The following is a 21,792-nucleotide window of genomic DNA, read 5'->3' as shown; positions in this document are numbered from 1 at the left end:
CCATATTTTTTTTATTTTGCATTCTGACATATTATACATTATCAACCAGTTTTCTTCAAAAGAAAGACCTGAACCAGCAGTGTAAGAGGTAAGCACACTGTGATGAGCTTTAGACTGAACTGAACGATTACTTATTGTTCAGCATACAGTAATAGCAGTAAAGTGGCTGAACCATTTATACAATCAACCTGTTATATTACATTACATGTACTCCTTGTCTCCCCTGAGTGGCTTTGTCATAATGAACAGATACTTTTATAAATTATATAATTACCAGTTACTTTTAAATATTGCAGCAATTACAAAAGATTACCCCAAAGCTCTAATTGGAAGGTTGATGGTTAATGGGGTGACTTGGCTTTTAGCAGAATTACAGTTTGCACCTGTATGGGTAAAACAGTGTCTGGGCCTTTCACTTTAGCTTCACTTATGATTTTTATAATTCTGATTATTTTGATATTGCTTAATAGATCTGCTACTTCACTTATCTAAATATTCTAAAAAGTGAATGTCACAAAGCAATCAATCTAAAAAAACCCCAGACAAATAAATACATAGAACAACAAAAAAAGATCTTGGCTGTCATTTTCTGATATCACTATTGTGCTTTGATTTTGATTGTTTATGGAAACAATAGTTTCCCTGCCTGAAACCTGACGAATTTAATAATAAAAAGGGAAGTTTTATAAGGGTAACTCTGAAAGTATTTAATGCTGAAGTTGCAGTAATGTTGAATCTTTACCATTTCAAAGAAAATAAATATGACTTACATACTGCTCTAGTTGAGAGTATGCGCTGAGTGAACGTTTCCTGATTAACTCATAAGAAGTTGTAGTAAAGTATCAACTAGGCTTCAGAAAAGACCATCTGTCAGTTTAAGTGTGCATTATTTCTGTGATTTCTGTGACCTCCTTTGCACACTTGTAAGCTATACAAAAGCACACAGTTAAATGACATTTTTTCAAAGTTACAAAAATATTTCTGTTTCTAAAAATTCTATAGAAACTTTCTATGTGGAAATGGTGGCTAATTTACCTAGCAATGTTGAATGGGCATGAACATTCCTCCAAATCTGAGTATGACAATCCCAAGATTCTTGTGAGGGCTATCATGGATTTTCACTCACATAATGTTTTGCTTGATATTCATTAAGGATCTTTGTCACTTAAGAAAATCTAGATCATGAGTTGAGCAATTAAGAGACTTATTTTTATTACAGCCTTGGGTGTTTATCTGAAAAAGATGCTTTTTCCTTTGGTTTATTGGTAAGTCACCTCCAGAAATAAAAGAGTAAACATGAAAATAAAAAAATGAGATGTACTTGACATTATTTATTTATTTACCAAACAGAGATTATCATCTGTATTTGGTAAAATCTCTATATAAATCTCTATTTGGTATAATCTCTATTTATTTATTTGTTTATAACAAATAGAGATTATACCGAATACGATAATCTGAGATACTGCTGTTTATGGGCAAAAAAAAAATCCTTAAAAATTAAAAAGACTAACACACCTATAAAGCTCTCTTTTTCTGGGACAATCCTATAATAGAGAAGAGAGAGTGAGAAGTCTAAGAGGGACACAGAGGGATGACTTCCCAACCATTTGATCATCAGTAGGAAAGTGTACTTTTTCCTTTCAGTAAGCAATGCCCTAAGTCAGGGCTTGGCAATCTTTTTCTGTTATGGGCCAGGAGTAAATATGTTGTGATTGATGGGACATGCAATCTCTGTCACCACTACACAACTCTGCCATTGTATAGTAAAAGCAGTAGAGTAAAAGACAGACAATAGGTAAATGAGTGGGGTGACTCTCTTTCAATAAAACTTTATTTATGGACTCTGAAATTTCATCATTTTCATACGTCACAAAATATTCTTCTTTTAATTTTTCTTTTGTCCTTTAAAAATATAAAAATCTTTCTTAGCTCACTGGCTGTACCAAAATAGGGGGCACTGGAGTTAACTCTTGGGCTGTAGTTTACTGACTCCTGCTCTAATTCATAATCTTATATTTTTTTGAAAAGTATGTGTGTATATGTGTATTCTAATGTTTTCTTTTTACAGGAGATTCAGGCCTCAATTATGCTTCTGTTTTCATTAAACATAATGCTCATGAATGTGTCTAACTCAGCCCAAATGATGACTATAATCTTTCCACTATGTGACAGAACCCTAGACAAACAAAGTTAAACTGGTGCCAGGAGTTCCCATGCCCTCCCTAAGCTTCTATGCATTATGTGTCTTCTTTATTTGCAGTTCCATTTGCATATTTTTAATTCATTAGTAGCTTGTGGTAGAATTCTATAACCTCCTTACTGTTTTCCTCCCCTTCCTCTCTTTCTATAGCCTCTTATTTTCCCGATTTATGTCATTCTTAGGCTTCACAGGACAAAAGGGATTTTAATTTGAAGAAAGAGAGGAAGAGAGAAAATGACAAAGGGAAGAGAACTAACGGGCGGGAAGGGTGAGAGACAAAAGGAAAAGATAAGAGAGAAGCACAAAAGGTGGTGGCGTCTCACAGGTCAGAAGAAGCTGCGTGATGGGAGGTAAAGCATTCTCTTCCCTGCATTTTTCTTTGCCACTTACCCTCCTCCCCTCCCCTTTCTCCTGCCTCACCCCCAACTTGCTCAACTGCTCTCTTCCACTGTTTCAGCCCCATTTCTTGCCTACATTTAGTTTCCCACTTCTCTCTGCACTTCTTACCTAATTGTCTCTTTCAACCTCACTTTCTCCTTTATGGTTTGCTTTTGAGCACTAACTTTGAGCGCATCTGTTTGTATATGTCACTACAGTCAGCCTTTCACGTGTCTGCTTCCACAGAGGAGGGAGAGCTGGCACTTTAGGTAACTACCTCCACCCCCAGGTCATGTACATGGCCCTATTGGTCTGATGGGCCCTGTAGGGCAGCATCATGCTCACTGAAGGCCCCAGATCCTGCTCACTGAGGAGCATGGTGGCAGCGTGAACTTTCCCCTTGCCTTTGCAGAAGGAAGTGGTCTCACTGGGCTTGTACATTTACAAGGCAAATAACTATTCTGGCTCTATTAATTTTCTTTTTAGATACAGAATTTAGTTTTTACCATCCTTTCCCACACAATCTATTGACTTGTCTCAGTATTGGGGAACTCACATGTGCTTATAGTACCACGTTAGAGCTCAAATTCATGGGTTCAGTTGTAATGACATTTTTCTAACAAATGAACTCAGTAATGAGGAAGATTAAAAATAACTTTCATTTTTAAAATTATCAGTTCTCAAGTAACATATGTTCCCTGTTAAGAACTTAGAGCGTACATTTGAGTAGACAAAAGTCAGAAAGCATTTTGAATTCCATTTCTCAGATATAAGCGCTGTTAATATGTGGGCATATAATCTCCCAGAATTTTATGTAAACCTAAGTACAGATAGGTTTCTACGTGTGTATCAGTCATAATCAGATCAGAGAAGCAGAGCCGCTTGGTGATATACATATAATAAGGAATTTGACCTTTCCCAATCATGGGAGCTGCTTGAACACTTTCTCTAAAGCTGTTGGGTTCATATCTGGTGCTGGAGTTTGAAGACCTTTATCAAGCTAGATGTAATCTTTGAACCTCACTTTTCTCATTTGTAAAATGATAATAATAATACTTGCCTAATAGTGTTGTTATAAGTATTAATATCAGTAAGAAATGAAATTATGTAGGAACATGCCATAGTTCCTGGTTATCAGGAAAAACTCAATACATTTCAGCAAATTATTATTAATAATTATTACATTTTCCATCACCAACACTTATTAACTCTGGGCAAGTTATGCAGCTTTTCTGTGCTCAGTTTTATCACCTATCAAATGGAGCCATTGACATTTACCTCAAAGTGCTGTTATGAAAATTACATGAGAAAGTAAATCTAAAATGCCTAATGCAAAGTCTTGCATACAGCGAGTATTAAGTGAAAGTCAATGGCTCGGCCTAATGCTGAGACTGTTTTCGTTCATTAGCAGCCCTGCCATGTTGTTATCTCATGCTGAGCTTGTCCTCATTTAAGTCCTTGGGGTTTCTTTTACCTGCATGTTGAAATATCTCTGCTACACTATGCTTGAAAAATTTTGTTTTATGCAGCTCCATGTAGGATTTTTGGCTTACTTTTGTTGTCTTTCATTGTAATATATTTCTACTCCATATCTCAGTATGCCAAGATTTTTTTCAAACTTGATTCTGGGTCCAACATATTAGCTATTCTTCCTTACTTTTTCATGCTTCTTAAAATTCATTGAAGATATTAGACTGTGCTTTGTGAAATTGCTGTTTTTGTACGTAAAAAATTATCACACACTTGTGTGCGATTGTGTGTGGTTCAACTTAATATTAGAGAGCTGAATAGAATAGAACCAAGGACATGATTATGAACTAGCTCTTTATTACTGTCTTGACCTTTTTTGAGTCATAAATATTTGAGAATCTGATGAAAGCTATTTATTTCCTTTCCAGAAACACATACACACATTTCTATACTTTTTTATATAATCTTTTTTCTTGCATTGCACATTCATTTCTTTCATAAAGACAGAATACAAGACAATTTTTCTGAAAAAATTTCTCTTATTCTCAGCCTTAATGTGAAAATGTTCATATAAAAAAATGTAAATTTTGCATAAAACTAAAAATGTAAGTCTTAATCGTGTTCAACTTTAACTTGCAATGAGAAGACAGTTATTTTTTGGTTTGACTAAGAAGTAAATACTGTGGAATGAATGCACATGGCTCTGTGAAAAATCATCTTTTGACAATCAATTTTGAGTTTTCATTTCTGTGCCTGTAAATGCTAGAAACTCCAAATGATAAATGCCTGTAAGAGAAAAACAAATAAAATCAGAATTCTCATTACTAGTTTTACTAGATGAGAATAGGTTTGTTTCAAGGAGAAGTGGAATTACTGGGTCTTCCGGAGAAACTGATGTGTTATCACATCCTGTGCCCTCAAGTCAGGGAGGGGAACTTTCATAAGGCCTTTGAGTGAGCAAAGGATTATGAATCCACATCTCACTTTCAGGTCATCTGAGGGGAAGTGATCTTTTAAAAACATTATCTGGTGTTTCCAGGTGTCTGTAGATTTTGGCTTGCATAAAAATGGACAGAATGTTGTTGCTTTTGATTTCAGCCTAAAGAATCGCTTCCTCCAGCAAAGGAAAAAATTTCAGATTGTTTATCTGCAGTCTTTTGTTCCAGAATGTCTGTTTGGCTGAAATGTCTCATAGTTTTAAAATAATATCTAAAATGTGGACTATAGGGCCTTAATGAAAAGGTTTACATAACTCCTGTGGCCAAAAGTTTTTTCAAGTGAGCCAATTCAGAATGACATCCTGCATGCCAAATGGTTCTGTGAGTGGGTTTTGTCTTCAAATAAAAAGGGTAATGAATGGGTGGGGGTTGAAGACTCTGTCCAAAGTCAATAAAGGTTGTATTAAAGACTCTTTCTGGCTGAGTGCGGTGACTCATGCCTGTAATCCTAGCAATTTGGGAGGCCAAGGTGGGCAGATCACGAGGTCAAGAGATGGAGACCATCCTGGGCAACATGGTGAAAACTTGTCTTTACTAAATACAAAAATTAGCTGGGCATGGTGGCAAGTGCCTGTAGTCCCAGCTACTGGGGAGGCTGAGGCAGGAGGATCGCTTGAACCTGGGAGGCAAAGGCTGCAGTGAACCAAGATCGCGCCACTGCACTCTAGCCTGGGTGACAGAGCGAGACTCTGTCTCAAAAAAAAAAAAAAAGACTTCTTCTTCTATTTTGTATGAAAGAACTTCATATTCTGCTCCATATTCCTTGACAAAACTTGGCAAAGTTATTTCTTTGCCCAGCTTTGATGATGTAGATCACTTTCATAGCAGTAGACAAATGTTCCAGGCTGTTGATAAAATCTCTAACATCAATGCACCCTGACATGCAACAGTAGATTCGTAATATGGGTAGAAGTTATTTCATTCTTCTTCTTATCAACCTACCTGAGAAGTGTTACCCAGAGATCCTCAAAGACAAGTGTTATGCAAAAGCGGCATTTACTTACCCTTATTTGTTGCTTCTTATAGAGAGAGCACAGTATAAATATCACTCACCTTTTCAGGCCACAAGGATAGCATAATTATTATGTCTATTATAGTACTTAGACGAACAGCAACTAACATGCTGTAAATAAACAATTCCTAATTGATACAACATAACCATACTCCATTATTAACAATGAGTTAGATGGCAAATACTTGCATTAACTGTAAATCACTAGTCAGGCACATTGGCTCATACCTGTAATCTCAGCCCTTTGGGAGGTCAAGATGGGCAGATTGCTTGAGCCCAGGAGTTCGAGACCAGCCTGGGCAACAGGGTGAAATCCTGTCTCTATTAAAAATACAAAAGACTAGCCAGGTGTGGTGGTGTGTACCTGTAGACCCAGCTATCGGGAGGCTGTAGTGAGGGCCCCAAAGGTTGAGGCTGCAGCGAGCCAAGATCATGCCACTGCATTCCAGCCTGGGCAACCGGAGTGAGACCCTGTCTCAAATACACGACCACCCCCGCCCCCCTCCCCCCCAACAAAACTATAAATCATCATGATTATTGGTTAAATATAATAACCATAGCAACTTTATTAAAAATTTGCGTTTTAAATTTCCAAAATAATTGGCACTTGGGCCAATCCTTTAGTTGGCTAAACCTTTACTAAGATAGTTCTTTTTCTTTTCTATATTCATTTTTATTTATGATCCCAACTTACAATGTGGTTATATGTCTTTTTCCACATTCTTTCCCACAGACTAACCTAATGTTAATATGATTATTATTTCCATCTGCTTTTTACCTTGCCTGTGTATCGCCTATTGTAAAATTTATCCTTCTCCCAGGCCTCTTTCTTCTGCTCACTCAAATGTATTATTACCTCTCTCCTAATCATGCCAAAAAGGGTGTTGACCAAGGCTTCTATATGGCTGTCTATAGTACACTTTTATAAGATGCTCTGTACGTAGATCTCTATCATCAAGTTCAGAGATTTTCTTGAGAATAGCATTTGATGTATAGTACTAGTAATTATTCCCTTACTAGTAGATATTTTCTGTCTAAAAATGTTCCTCTTTCATTCTGTATTCCTATTCATGAATCCCCATACAAAGAAGTATCAGTATTACATAAGATAGTATTTACTTGTTAGTATCTAAAATTTAGTTTTAATTGTTTAAAACCTTTACTTAGTAAACAGCTTATAAAAATTGAAAAATATTAGAATGTTTTATTTTCTGCAACTTTTTTGAACTTCCTATACAATCATCTTTATTTATTTATCATTCTTATTACTCACCATGATATTTGTTTTTCTGCCTTGCTTGACATTATTGTTTTGAAGCACTTTTTTTTTTTTTTTTTTTTTTTGAGACAGAGTCTTGCTCTGTCATCCAGGCTGGAGTGCAGTGGTGCAATCTCGGCTCACTGCAAGCCCCGCCTCCCGGGTTCACGCCATTCTCCTGCCTCAGCCTCCCGAGTAGCTGGGACTACAGGTGCCCGCCACCAGGCTAGGCTAATTTTTTGTCTTTTTGGTAGAGACAGGGTTTCACCGTGTTAGCCAGGATGGTCTTCTCGATCTCCTGACCTCAAGATCTGTCTGCCTCAGCCTCCCAAAGTATGCTTTGAAGCTTTCTTAATCAGATTAGCAAATCTCCTGGAATCACAATTTCTTCAGAATTTCAAAAATACTCCTTGTCTTTTTTTCAGGGGTACTAATTCAATAATTGTAAGAATATATTTCAAAAGTTTTAAACCATAAACACTTATTTTCTATTAAGGAAGTCTTGTTCAGAGCTCCTATATAAGAAAAATAAAAGTGAAGATCTTCTAGTTAAAGTATGTGTATGTGTGCATGTGGGAAGGAGCCCTTCTCCTATGTGTCTCTATAGTCCCTTTGAAGAACAAAGCTTAAAAACCAGTTTTACAACTACGGTCTAGTTAAGCAAAGTCTTTTCTTTTCATGGAAATTTCTTTTCTTTGAGTATTCATTGAGTACCTGCCATTTGCAAAACACATTACTTACATGCTATTGTCATCTTCTAACTGATACCTTTCTACCAGAAGAAGTGAAAACATCTATATTCTCAAGTATATAAAATATCACCAAGAACCCGTTTTAGGCAGTGATCTGAAGATCACATTCTTTCCAACATAAATAAATATACATGAAATATACATAAAACCAGATTGTCTTTAAAACAGTTTTGGATCTGAATCATCAGGTTTGAATGTGATTGAGCCGGGGGGCATGGCACATACTGTGGAAAATGATTTCTTGCTCCACTGAGGAAACCTCAGGTCCTCTAGTTGTATTTCCTTCAGTGAACCCAGACCCCATAGGAGAGTCCTCAGCCTGCCCGGCACACTCTGTGTTTCTCCCCACCTCGGTTTCTCTATTCATTCTGTCCACTCTACATGGGCTGCTGGTCCTTTTCTCTTTGTTTATTAAAATTCTGTCCTTGAAGTCTCTTCAGCCTGGTCAGCCAAAAATTATCGTTTCCTTTTTTATTCTACAAACAGCACTTCTATTCTAAAACCACACATTAGTCCCTTTATTACATTGATTTTCATATGTTTTATGTTTGTCTTCCTCCAAAATGACAAATACCCCAAGGACAGAAAGCACTCCCTCAAAAGCTTCATTCAAAGAATTGATTTCCACATGGGCCTTGTTTATTTTTTTATTTAAACTAAAGAAATTTGAGAAATTGGTAAATGGGTGCACAGAAGGAAGAAAAATACGGGCAATACAGGCATCATGTTTAGAATTCTTGGATGGAATCATGTATCTTGATAACAGGAAAAACCATTTCCTCTCCACCAAATGCCAGTGCACTCTAAGTACCTCAAGGACTGACAAGTTTGGGACCATTGAGAGAATAGTCTCAGCACAGCTTTGGCATCGTCACGATCAGCCACGTCAGCTATGATGGATGTCAGGCACAGCAATGTCTCAGGAGGAAAAAAAAAAAACACTGGCCAGGAGGACCTAGAACAGGGCATGGAAAAATGTGGAAAACAACACTTGCCCAGTGGTGACCATGGCTGATGGACAAGTTCATAAGATACAGAAGTCCAGCAGGCCACTAGGCATGATGGGGATGATGAAAAAATATTTGCAGATTTAGGGGCCTGATTAGCTGATGGGGGCAAGACCTGTGAAATCTGAGATATGACACTTAATGTCACATGCTGTATCCCAAAACTGGTGAGATCCAGAGATATTTGGATCATATTTATTTTGCAGAGAAGGCAAAGTCCTTTCTTTTACAATTATTGGAAAAGAAGTTTTAAATGCAAATATTCACTTGGACTAAAGTCTAAATGAATAACATAATTGTACGCATGCACTGTGTGTATTTTGTGTCTTTCCTCTCAAGAACAGATTTTGCTAAGAGGGCAAAATTGGCTAGTCGAAAGTGGAAAAAGACAAAGAAGCGAGAAAAAAACAGCTCTTTAGGGGACTCTGAGAAAGCAAATGTGTCCTCTCTCCCAGTTTGACTATGATTGGCCATCTATTTCATATTAATTTAGCACTTTGGCTAACTCTCTAAAAAATACAGATTGGCAGAAAGGAAAAAAAATGCTTTGGCCCCAAAATTGAAAAGAGTTCTTCTAAAACTATGGAAATAGTGAGACCATAAGGATGACTATAAGCAGATGTCTCTGAAAAAGTGTAAAGCTCACAAAAATTCTAATTTCCTGCTATCACTAGAATACTCCCCTTTGGTTTTCAGACTGTCAGTTTTAGATGGCCAGGTGGACCTGGAGAGATAACTAATGTATATATACTTTTTTCTTTTCTCTAAGTAAAAGTATTTGGAAGCCAGTGGATGTCTGGATCATTTCTCTCTCTCTCTCTTTTTTTGGTGGGGGAAATCATCTCTAAACCATCTTTCACCCAGTAATTTTTGGGCATAAAGTGTATCAATGTCTGCAATTCACTGCTGTGTGAGTTATTTTTGGCCCTGAAATTTTATGGAACTATGTGGATCATTTTGCAATTCATAATGAGACATCAGCATATTAAGGCCTTGTTCTTTTTTATTCCATTATTTTTCAATGCGTTTGGAAGGGGCCAACTTAAATCAGTGTTAGTTATGCTCTTAGGTGGCTGCTCTGACAAAATGAAATCATAGAAAAATGTCGAGCCAATAAAACCATCTGGGACTTTCATATATTTAAAACTCAAAATCTTTGTGGATCCTGCCAATACATTTCAGGTCATTTGAATTGAACCAAGGAAAAAAATGGTGTTGGTCTAGGTCACTTTTTTTTTTTTTTAAATTACAAATAGTTGGGTTAGGATATTTGTCCCTGATGTAACTCTTACTCACTTCTATACTGCCTTTGAGAACTGCACAATTAAGATGGGGATATGCTTTAAAACTTGAAGAAATAAATGACAATATAAATTCATACTAGTAGTTATTAGCGATATTTCTAATTCTAATGGGCAGCAGTTCTTCTTGGAATTTATCTCGCTACTTGGGACCTAGAAGAGTAAGACTTCTCCTTTGATATCCAGATACCCAGGTTGACTTCAAAATAGTACACAAAAGTGTAGATGGAAGGGTACAGCCATGCAACTTCAAAGAATCAACTAACTTGGTATACTTAATGCCCAGGTAATAAGATACTTACAGAGGATTTATTGGATGCTTACCGCACAGCCACTCTCCACTTCTTCCTTGCTGAGACTGTCCCAGTCCTGTTTGTGTGCCATCATTTATCTGAAAAAGGCAGAGAGAGCTGACCCTATTCCAAGCTCCCAGTCATTTTCCCCAACAGTGATTGGACTGGCACAGTCCTGGGATGCAAGTCTGTCTAATTCGACATTAAAAGAATTCAGCCAATGTTGTGGAAAATTAGCCCCCAAACTAAGAATTAAAATTAGACCCTATTGTGTTACTAAGAATTTACTGTGGGAAGGAGGAAGAGAAATGCTAAACCAGCCGGTGACCAGGTGTCCATCAAGCCCCACTTCTTTCAATTCATGAAAATTATAGACTTTCTTTTATATACTGGCACATCCTAAGACCTCCTCTAAGAATCGCCTTATGGTCAACAGGGGAGGAGAGGCTCTGTGATGCTCAGGTAGGGGGAAGGAGGACATCATAGAAAGGGAGGGAAGAGCAACTGTATAGTGATAACTAAGCAGATTTTTAAAAGGATATTTGAATAACATGATTATAAGCTTTTGAAAGGACTACTGTTCCAGTAAAATATTAAGAATCAACCAAAAAAGAAAGTCATTTATTTTATTGAGATCTGAGATCCAGTGAGAACTGATATAGAGGGTCTGATTTTTTTCCTTATAGAGGCTCATAGAAAAAAAAAAAAACTACATTTGAATAGATGCCAAAGACCCATTATTTCTCTCTCTTTCTCTCTTATGTTTTGTTGGACATTGTCATATCTGCATGGCATGCTTGTGCTCGTGAGGTCAGCTGGTCTTGGACAAAGTGGCAGTGATGAAGATGGGAGAACAAAAAGATGGAAAAGTTCCAGATCATTGATGATGTCATTGAGCTAATAAGTTAACCATCCCTAGAGTCACTCTGCCTCAAAATTTCTTGCTCTATGAGATAATAAAAAATCCTTGTTGCTTAGGCTACTGTGAGTTGAGATTTCTCTTTTTTACATTAAAAAACTCCCTAATATATTACTTAATCCAGATTTCTTTGTCTATTCAGTGGAAAGGATAATATCTCTTTTAGTGTAATGCCCGGCGTATAGCAAACATGAAACAAATGAGCCTAAGCATTTCAGCTGGAGATATAATTTTCTGAAGGAGTAGGTAAGATGAGTGGAGTTGCATTCCAGAAACATTTAAAGCAAGTCAGTGCTGCCTTATATTAGACAAACATTTCCAAGAATGTATGGTTTAGGATGCTAATATACTCTAATGTCCTAGGTTCCAGAGATTCCAGAGTCAGTTAAGTAGACTTAATAAATAATGGTCTAAAGAAATTCAAACACGTTCTTTTATGGCAGAAATATATTGCATCCCCATATTTTAAAAATAAAAATATTTTATTAAAATGCTATTGATGGAGGAAAAAACTACTAGTTTTCTTTAGTGAAGAGAGGGAAAAATATCAAAAGGTACAACATCTGTACCCATTGAGATGGTTGAAATGGTTGTTAATAAGAGCACATGATTTTTCTGCCCTGATTTCTTCTTTGGGCCTATGTATTGGGAAATGAGATTTCTTGAAGAAGGAGAAGATGTCTGTTTATAATGCAGAGGGTGGTGAAAAATAGAATGAAATTTGGGAAACTCTAGCCTGAGGATAAAAGAGGAGAGCTAGAGTCTAACTGGCTTCAACTTAATTGGAAACAGGGCTTGGGAGAACTTTTTAAGGTTCTGGAATTTAATACTTCCTCATGTTTGTCATCTTTGTTTTCTTAAATGAAAAAGGATTTGTTTGCTTGTGTTCAAAGTCAGGAATGATGTGAAGGATGTTGAAATACTGGGATGAAGTCTGTAGCCAGTTCTGGCAAAAGCAGAGACCTGGGGTTTCCCAGGATTCTTTTCAGTAGAATAGTCTGTGTGGTTCTTGAAGAGAAGGCCCTGGACAGTGAAGACGCAAGGGAGAATGAAAAAGAGATAGATAGTGAAAGAAAAATAAAATCTTTGGACCCCAAACTCACTATGCCAAAGAGAAAGTTAAGCTTGGGAACTGAGTCATGCAAAAAAACAAACAAAAAACCTGCCTTCCTTTTGTTCCCAAGTGTAACTACTTGCCTCATTGCCTGCCCTGTCTCCTTTTTTTTTGCTTCCTTCACCTCCTGCTTGCTCTTTTCTTTTTAAACATCGAAGTTCCTCAAACCCTCTTTGGAAAAAGCACAGGCCAGAAATCCTACTGTGACTTGTGATTCTTTTTCCCAGGCATATTCTCAACCTTGGCAAAATAAACCTCTAATCGATAGAGGTCTGTCTCAGTCACTTTTTGGTTTACAAATAGATGTCCAGGAACATAATATGAACCTAGTTACTCTGTGCTCCCTGGAGTTGTTCTTCAAGAGTGATCAAGGAGTACCGTAGAAGGCTGTATCAGCAAGGAAAGGAACAATTTGTGCCAGAGTCAACTAAAACAATGGGGGCCATCTGGAGGGAGGACTGGACATTCTAAGACCTTGGAGTCTCAAAGCAGTTCTGTTGCTAATAATTGTGTAACTGTGTTCAGGCTAAATCTTTGTACTTCCTGAGTTTTAGATTCCTCCTTCATGAATGAGAATGTCTCCAGGACTTTTTCCAGTACTTAATGGTCTATAATACCCCTACTTGCCTTAAAACAGCAGTTGAGAGGGGATTATGAGGAACAAACAAAAACAAATACAAATGGCTGTGGTAGCACTATCACAACGAATATCTTGGAGACAGAAAGATTTATTTTGTTGCTGCTCAGACTAAGATTGCTCTTTAATGATGACAGCAAATAGTAATTTGGAGGCCGCTACATGCCTGATGAAGCAAACATAAATTTGGAGCTACACAAAGGAGGGTTGTGTGTGTGTGGTGTGTGTGTATGTGTGTGTGTACATGTGTTTTATTTGCTTGTTTGTTTGGACAAGGAAACCTTAGAATTTTAAGATGTCACCCCATTTACCTTCTCCTGGTTCTTACCATAGAGATAGAAAACAAAGCTATTGTTCAATGCTGGGGAAAGGAAAAAATGAATTAATAAATGTGACTATCTTTGATGTATGATATAGCTTTAGGTGTTGGTGGGTGTCTGAAACAGGAGTTGAGGGGATGGATGGAAGGAAGTCAGACCACTCCATGTGTCTAAAAGAAGAAAGCCATGTGGGTTCAGAGCATGGGTCCCTGATGGGACCTCCTCTGATGTCTCTCATTGAGGCTTTAATAGAACTAGCTTGCTTTACCTACCTACCTACCTACCTACCTACCTACCTACCTACCTACCTACCTTCCTTCCTTCCTTCTTTCCTTCCTTCCTTCCCTCCCTCCCTCCCTCTTTCCCTCCTTCCTTCCTTCCCTCCGTCCCCCTTCTCTTCCCTTCCCTTCCCTTCTTCTTTCCTGCCTGCCTTCTTTCCTCCCTCCCTCCTGCCCCCTCTCTCTCTTTCTTTCTTCTTTCCCTTTTCATGGCAAGAACATTTAACAGGAGATCAGAGATCTGCAGATCAGAGATCCACTCTTTTAATAAATTTTAAGTATACAACAAGTATTGGTAGCTCTAGGCACATTGTTTTCTTAAATGGAAAAGGATTTGTTTGCTTGTGTTCAAAGTCACAAGCTCTAGGACTTATGCATCTTGGATAACTGAAAGCTTATACTTATTGATCAGCAACTGTCCATTTTTCTCTACTCCAAGCTCCTCCAACCATGATTTCACTTTTTGATTCTGACAGATATCTAACAGAGTTTGACTCTGTTAGATACCTCAGATAAGTGGAATCAGGCAGTATTTATTTGCCTTTCTGTGACTGGCTTATCTTACTTAACATAATATCCTCAAGGTTCATCTATGTTGACACATATTGCAGAATTTTCTTCTGTTTTTTTTTTGAAGCTGAATAATATTTCATTGCATGTGTAGATGCATATACCACATTTACTTTTCTTGAGGCAGTCCTACTCTGTCACCCAGGCTGGAATACAGTGGCATGATCTCGTCTCACTGCAATCTCTGCCTCCCTGGTTCAAGCGATTCTCCTGCCTCAGCCACCCAAGTAGCAGGGATTACAGGTGAGCACCACCACAACTGGCTAATTTTTTGTATTTTTAGTAGAAACTAGGTTTTGTCATGTTGGCCAGGCTGGTCTTGAACTCCTGGCTTCAAGAGATTCACCCGCCTCAGCCTCCCAAAGTGCTGGGATTACAAGTGTGAGCCACCATGCCTGGCCTTGCTTGTAATACCACGTTTTCTTTATTCATTGATCTATTAATAGACATTTAGTTTGTTTTCACATCTTGGCTATGAACCAGGGAACACATCTTCACCCTCCTGCCTGTCACACCATTGCTCAAAGCCATAAACACAGAAAGCATCCACTCAATGCTAATAGAGACCTGAACTTGTTCCCAAATGTAATATTTGGTTCTAAGCCCTGAATGTAATTGAGGAGGGGGTAAAAAAGACTTTCTTCATGCTGTTTACTGCAAGCAACAACCTTCACCCCAAGTTAAACAATTTTTTTTAAGTATCCAAATATCCAATCCCAACCTTGTCTCTATTCCACTAATGAAGTCCAGACTCTGTTTTGAGCACCAGAAATGAGGTCTGGGGATCAGCCTATGCCAGAAGCTATAGAGCAGACTCGAGATTGGTTTTGAAGGGAACAGAACAGTTTGGACTGTTCTGTAAACACTTTGGCATGTTTTGCATTGAAGCCTTGCTATAATCAAGGCATAGAAAATACTCCACCTAATGTGCCACTGAACCTTGGAACATTTAGTTTTTGGGAGTATATCTTTAATTTATAAAATGAAATTTTTTCAGCTCTATTGGCTAACTGAATTAACTCAAGAACAGCTCAAGTTTATATTGTTCCAGGAGCAAACAAGGTTGAGGTTAGATGGATGCAAATTTCAGTTTAATTTAAGGGAGCATATTCCAACACTAGAACTTAGAGGAGCTTAAACAGTCCCTGCAGTCACCTTCCCAAAATCATAAGATGAAGCTAGGTTTCCATTTGTATATATGCAAAAGACTCAGTGAAACAGGGGAATCTGAAGGCATTCATCCTGAGATTGTACAACTTCTCCTTCATTCTGTGGAGAGTATTTGTGTATCCAATAAAGTGACAGGAAACTAACATCTCTTATGCACTTCAAGTTTGCTAGATATTTCATATATTGCATTTAATCCCCATAGAAATCCAGTCATGCTAATATTATCTCCACTTCACTAAAAAGAAACTTAGGCTCAGCTATCTGCCCAAGGACAGAGAGACGGAATTAGGCAGAGACATTTCCAACTCCTGAAACTATGTTCTTAACAAAAATGAACATTTATAATGCACTTACTGTGTACTAGCATCGTACCTAAGCACTTGACACATATTATTTCCTTTAATCTCCAACAGCCTGATAAAGCAGCTTCCAATTTTATTCCTATTAATAGATAAGGGTATTTAGGTTTAAAAGGTTAATCAAATTGTCCAATGAAAAACATTTTGTTAGTAGCAAAAGCAGTATTTCACTCCAGGCAACTTAACTGCACACTTTTAATCATTAGCATAAATTGCCTTGCCTCTATACTAGGCTGCCTGCTGGATTCTACTAGAGTAATGACTTTTGGCATATGTTTCGAGCAAGAGCTATACTTTCCTATAGGCCTATTTAGAAATAAACCCAAATTTATTCACAGATTTTTTAAAAATCTAAAGTAATTATAAAACCACAAGTCATAAGCTCTAAATTATTTCTAATTGCTAGAAATATTATCAGAACCATAGTAATGGAATTGTAGAGTGAACTGGAGCATAAATGAGGCAGCACTGAGGAATGTGCCATTCCCAGAGTCCCAGTTGTACCTCCAGCTCTTTCTGCCCCAATAAAGAATGCACGTGGGATTGCCAGCAAGAGTAATATTATTACAGGGATAAACTTGCATTCTAAGTAAGTTATTTTGAAAAATCTTTTATAAAATTTGGTACTCTGTGTGTGTGTGTGTGTGTGTGTGTGTGTCACGACTTACGATAATCAAGACATGCCATGACACTGCATCCTCCAAGGACTCTTCCATTCTAACATTCTCTGAATATGTGCAGCAAATAATTTTGATTCTCTGCCCAGATCCTTTGGGATCTCATTTTTACATTTTCTGTTTCCCCATTGGAGGACTGTTCATGGGCCCCCGGAGTCTTCTTTTCCAGGGCTGAGAGCTAGAAGTGCTGAGTATTTACATCCCCCAAGGGTGGCCCTTAACCAATGTCTTCTAGGTATGGGCACATGAAACCTCAAAGCCCTTGCGTTGGGTGGAAAGTACTCACAAGCTGATCCATCAAGGCTGAAGTCAGCCTCTGGATGACTTTCCCTGAGATCACCCTTTTGCTTGGTTTTCTCCCCTTCCCCATCCTGCTTTCCTCTACTCTCTGTCCTACTCCTTACTGTTTTTTTCCTGGGAGCACTTGGTTAATAGGTTACTTAAACTGGAATAATCCTCTCAGGTCTGTGTCTGGGGGGCCAATCACCAGCCACTATGGATCAGCCTTTAGGTGCTTTCCACCCAGGTCAAGGGGTTGAGGTTTTCATGCTCCCATACTTAGGAGTCATTGGTTAAGGGCCATCCTTGGGGGATGTAAATACTCGGCACTTCTGGCTCTCAGCCCCGGAAAAGGGGATTCCAAGAGCCCATGAGCAGTCCTCCAATTGGGAACCAGGAGACATTGCAGACTTTAGGTCCAGCAAAGAGAAATGGATTTTATGAAAATACTTGAAGTTGAATGTTTATGGACACATCTATCAGAAGATAAGAAAGGAAGAGAGGAAAGAGAAGGAAGGAAGAGAGGAAAGGGGAGGAAAGAAGGAAGGAAGGAAGGAAAAGGAAGGGAAGGAAAGGAAAGGAAAGAAGGGAAGGAAGGGAAAGAAGGGAATGAAGGGGAGGAAGGGAAGGAACAAATGAGTAAGTGAAGGTGGGAAGGAAGAAAGAAAGGAAGGAAGAAAAAGAATAAAGAAAATATGTACGGCTCTACTCAGTAGGGTATAGATATAAAACATCTTTATTTTCCAGTCTCTGCTTTCAACCCTGCTGAGCCAAATTCTTTTTCTTTTCCCTTAACAACATCTTACAGCATGATCAACACTCAGTCTAGTTTACAAATGAATCTCAGACTTGATTTCAATTGCATCTCTTCCCTTGCTTCCAGGACAGGTTTCAGCTAGGGGATGACTGTTTGGGGAGTACTTATATATGCCAGTGGATGTTTCTGAAAAGTATCTTTCACCCTTTTCTTAGAGTGTAGCTCTTTCTGTGTATTCATGCTGTTGAGAAGGAGAGTAAGGTAAAATAGTGAGGGCTGCCTTAGCTTGGGCTGCCATAGCGAATACCCTAGACTGGGTAGCTTAAACAAGAGAAATTAATTTTCTCACAATCCTAGAGGTTTCAAGCATGAAAAACAAAGTGCCAGCATGGCCAGGATCTGGTGAGGACTCGCTTCCGGGCTTGCAGATGGCCATTTCTCTTGGTGTCGTCACCTGGCCTTTCCTCTGTGCTCATGTGGAAAGAGAGTGAGAGAGGGGGTGGAGAGGGGGAGAGAGAGATCTGGTGCCTCTTTCTCTTAAGTCCACCAATCCTACTGGATTAGGGTTCTACCCTTACGACTTCATTTAACCTTAGTTACTTCATAAAAGCCCTTTCTCCAAATACTGTCACACTGTGGGTTAGCGTTTCAACGTATGAATTTTGAGGGGACATGATTCAACCTGTGACAGTGAGCATTCTCAGACCTACCTAACTCCTGTTGTAGTCCTTATTCTGAGTGGTCCTCAGTTCTCTGAGTGGCCCTGACCAGGTGTCATGCCCACAGTGGAGCAGTCGCCTCAATGATTGCTCTCATGGGCACATAGGCGAGTCCTCTGGGGGGCATTGCAAGGCCTCTCACTGCTTAGTTCCCCATGGGAAAGCTGACCTTAACACTACTGCTTTGTCTACTTCAGCTCCTGCCACCAGAAGTATACTACAGCAGGTGGGGTGCCAACATGATGGCTCAAACTCCGCTAAATTCCATGAGGTCCCCTTGGCCTATGGAAATTTTATTATTTTTCCCCTTATTCTCCTCTTCTGTTTTTATAGGCTCAGCATAGATCAACAGGTCCACTACCTATACAGATATCCAAATGGGCAATATGATACAGTGCCCCATTTTTATCATACAAAGGCATTGTCTACTCTCTGTGAGAGATTATTCTGGAGTCCCTTGCCGAGCCACCCTTTAAACTTTAGAAAAGGTACAAAATAATTTCTGAGACACTCATGTAGCATCCCTATGAGGTCAATTCCAAAGATACCGATGACTCCCTTTTCCCTCTCCATGCCCAAGTCTTTAAATAGATAGATTGGTGTGGATAGACAGATTATAAATGAGAGGTAGGTGGATAGACAGACAATTGAAGGGTTTGCTCAATTATACATGATTCATGATAGATGCATAAATTCATAGCTATAGGATTGATTGATAGAGGGTAGATGCCAGATGGATGGATGATGAGATAGATAATAAATGATAATAGCTAGCTAGCTAGATAACTGCATGGGTTTTGCTTCTTCCAATTAAGCCCCGAAGAAGTGAGTTGGTGCCCCAATGTTGGTAGTTCTTTTGACTGAGTGGTACTGAGCACATGTTGTTTTGTCTGTGTGCTGTAGAGCAGGGGTCAGTAAACTATCAGGCCCTGGAATAAGGCCAAAGAATCATATATAATCTGGGGCCTGTTTTTGTATAGCCTGTGAGCTAAACATGGGTTTTATATTTTTGAAGGTTTGTGAAAAAGCAAAGTGACAATGGCAATGGCAAAGCTTAGAATATTTAATAGTATTTAATAGAAAAAGTTGACTAATCCCTACTCTGAGGCCAGTTTAGAGGCAATAGAAAATGTTCCTTTCAAAATCCTGTTACACATTTCCCTGATTTTTTCAGGTGAGGAAAAGGGAGTCTGGGATGGGGATTTAGCATTTCTTTTTTGGCCACCACAGAAGATTAACATTAATAAATATTTATTAAGTACATGCTGTAAAATTAGAACTGCGTTTAGTGAGAAAGTGGTACAAAAGAATATAAGTCAAAAGAGTTGACCCTCAAGGAGCTGCAAACTCAGGAAAACTCAAGTCATACATGTGAAGTGTGAAGCAATAGTACAAAACAATCTATGACTAACCAGCTGAAGAAATGGAACTAACAGTAATTGCTGTTGGATTAAGATGGTAACAAAATCTGCACAGGTTGAAGTCACCAGGGAAAAAGAGCCATGGTTTTGACTTTAAAGCATGTTTAGAGATGTGTAAATTCCCCCAAACTGGGAAGCCAAGATTTAAGTGCTTGTAATTTCCTGGTACTTAGGAATACCAAATATCCAGTGACTTATTAAAATAGGAGAGTATTGGTCTAGGAGTCTGAACTCCAGAGCCATCTAAACAGTGGAATTATTCTTGAAGAATTTTTAAAGAGATTTCCAGTAATATTACTTGAATCATGGGTTGCTATTATTCATGGTGTGATAATCTGAATGTATGTATCCTTTGGTGATGTTGCAAAAGCCTAATCCCAAGACTTCAGACAGGATTCTGAGGATCATAAAAATTCATCACAGAGCCCTCAAGCCTTCGTATAATTTGGAGAGTAATTACTGCTTTACACTGATTAACACTGGAAAATCTTTTAATTGACATAATGAGAAAGAAATACCAATGATACAATGCATCCACAAGATACTGGGGCTGTACAGGTTCTGCTCTAATCATATGCTGAATGACGTCAGGTTCCAGATATTCTGGACAAGTAACTTTTCATTCTTCTTAGCTGGTGACCAGCTCTATTTATATAAAATCTCTCAGGGTTAAAAACCTACTATTGTGCATTTATCTAGCAAGGGGCTGGGAATGACCAGCCCTTGTGATCTGTCAATCATGAGAACATGAAGTTTGATTTTTGAAGTATTGGATGAAAAATAATTGTCAAATACATTCTTGTAATTTTTATCACTCTAATTGCCAACAAAGTACTTGGGCAAGACTTGGGGAACTCATCCTCTCACTGAGGTTCTAGGATCCTTATTTCAAGCCCATTTCATTCCATAACTGATCCAGAAGTCACTTTTATAGACCCTTATAGAATCACCCTTTATTATATTAAAGCAAGTGTGTGCCTTGTGTAGTTTAGATATGCCAGTACTGTTGTCTTTGGAATCAAGAGATGAGTTCAAATTACTAGATTCTTGTGTAGTATATCTATGACTATATAAAAATAATTTCAATACTACTACAGTAGTTTTTAGATTGTAAAAAAAGCTGTTGTTGTTTATAGCCACTTGAGATAACTGAGGAACATTTTTTTCTTTTGGCCAAATATGCATTTTTCTGAGACCTCTCTGGAGGGGAGTGGAACGTTACAACTAGAACCAGGCTCTGGGAAATACAACCACATCTGTGTTTCGTAATGATTTTGAAGCTAGATTTTAGTTGTAGGGATTTTTTGTCTATTCTGCCAGGGGTATTAACATACTCACTTCCTGTAAAAAGATTTAAAAAAAAAAACTAAGAAAAAAGAAAGGAAAGACACCAGGCAGAGCTAAGCAGACTAGCTTCCTTTGTTTGCTTGGCTTTTAAAGTATTCTTCTGAAACTGAATTGACTGGCATTTTCTTTGGTTTGTAACCAAACACAAATGGTTGAAGTGTTGTGTCCTGCTAACACATCTTCAAAAATGCAAAACAAAAAAGGCAGGGACATTTCAAGAACATTTATTCTGGGAGCTAGTGCTTAAAGCAGTGGGCGAGATAGGCATCCAATTTTTGTTGGCTATTCACCAAATCATCGCACTTAGGGAGAAACAACTCCGCATGTTATACTGTCCAAAATATTGACAGACCTGCAAAGCAGGGTTCAGCAATCAGTCTTACATGTAAGTTCTGAATAGAGAGAATTGGATTTCCTGATCTAGAGCAGATTTTCAACAGATTTCAGTTAAAGAAGACTGATACAATAAAAAATGTATGAGCTTTAAAATCAGATAGACCTGGGATTGAGTCTTGTTTCTGCCATATGTTAGCTGTTTGTCCTTGGGCAAGTT

This window comes from Homo sapiens, chromosome 2 (genome assembly GCF_000001405.40).
Source record: "Homo sapiens chromosome 2, GRCh38.p14 Primary Assembly".
NCBI lineage: Eukaryota > Metazoa > Chordata > Mammalia > Primates > Hominidae > Homo > Homo sapiens.
Note: the sequence above shows the minus strand (reverse complement) of the source record.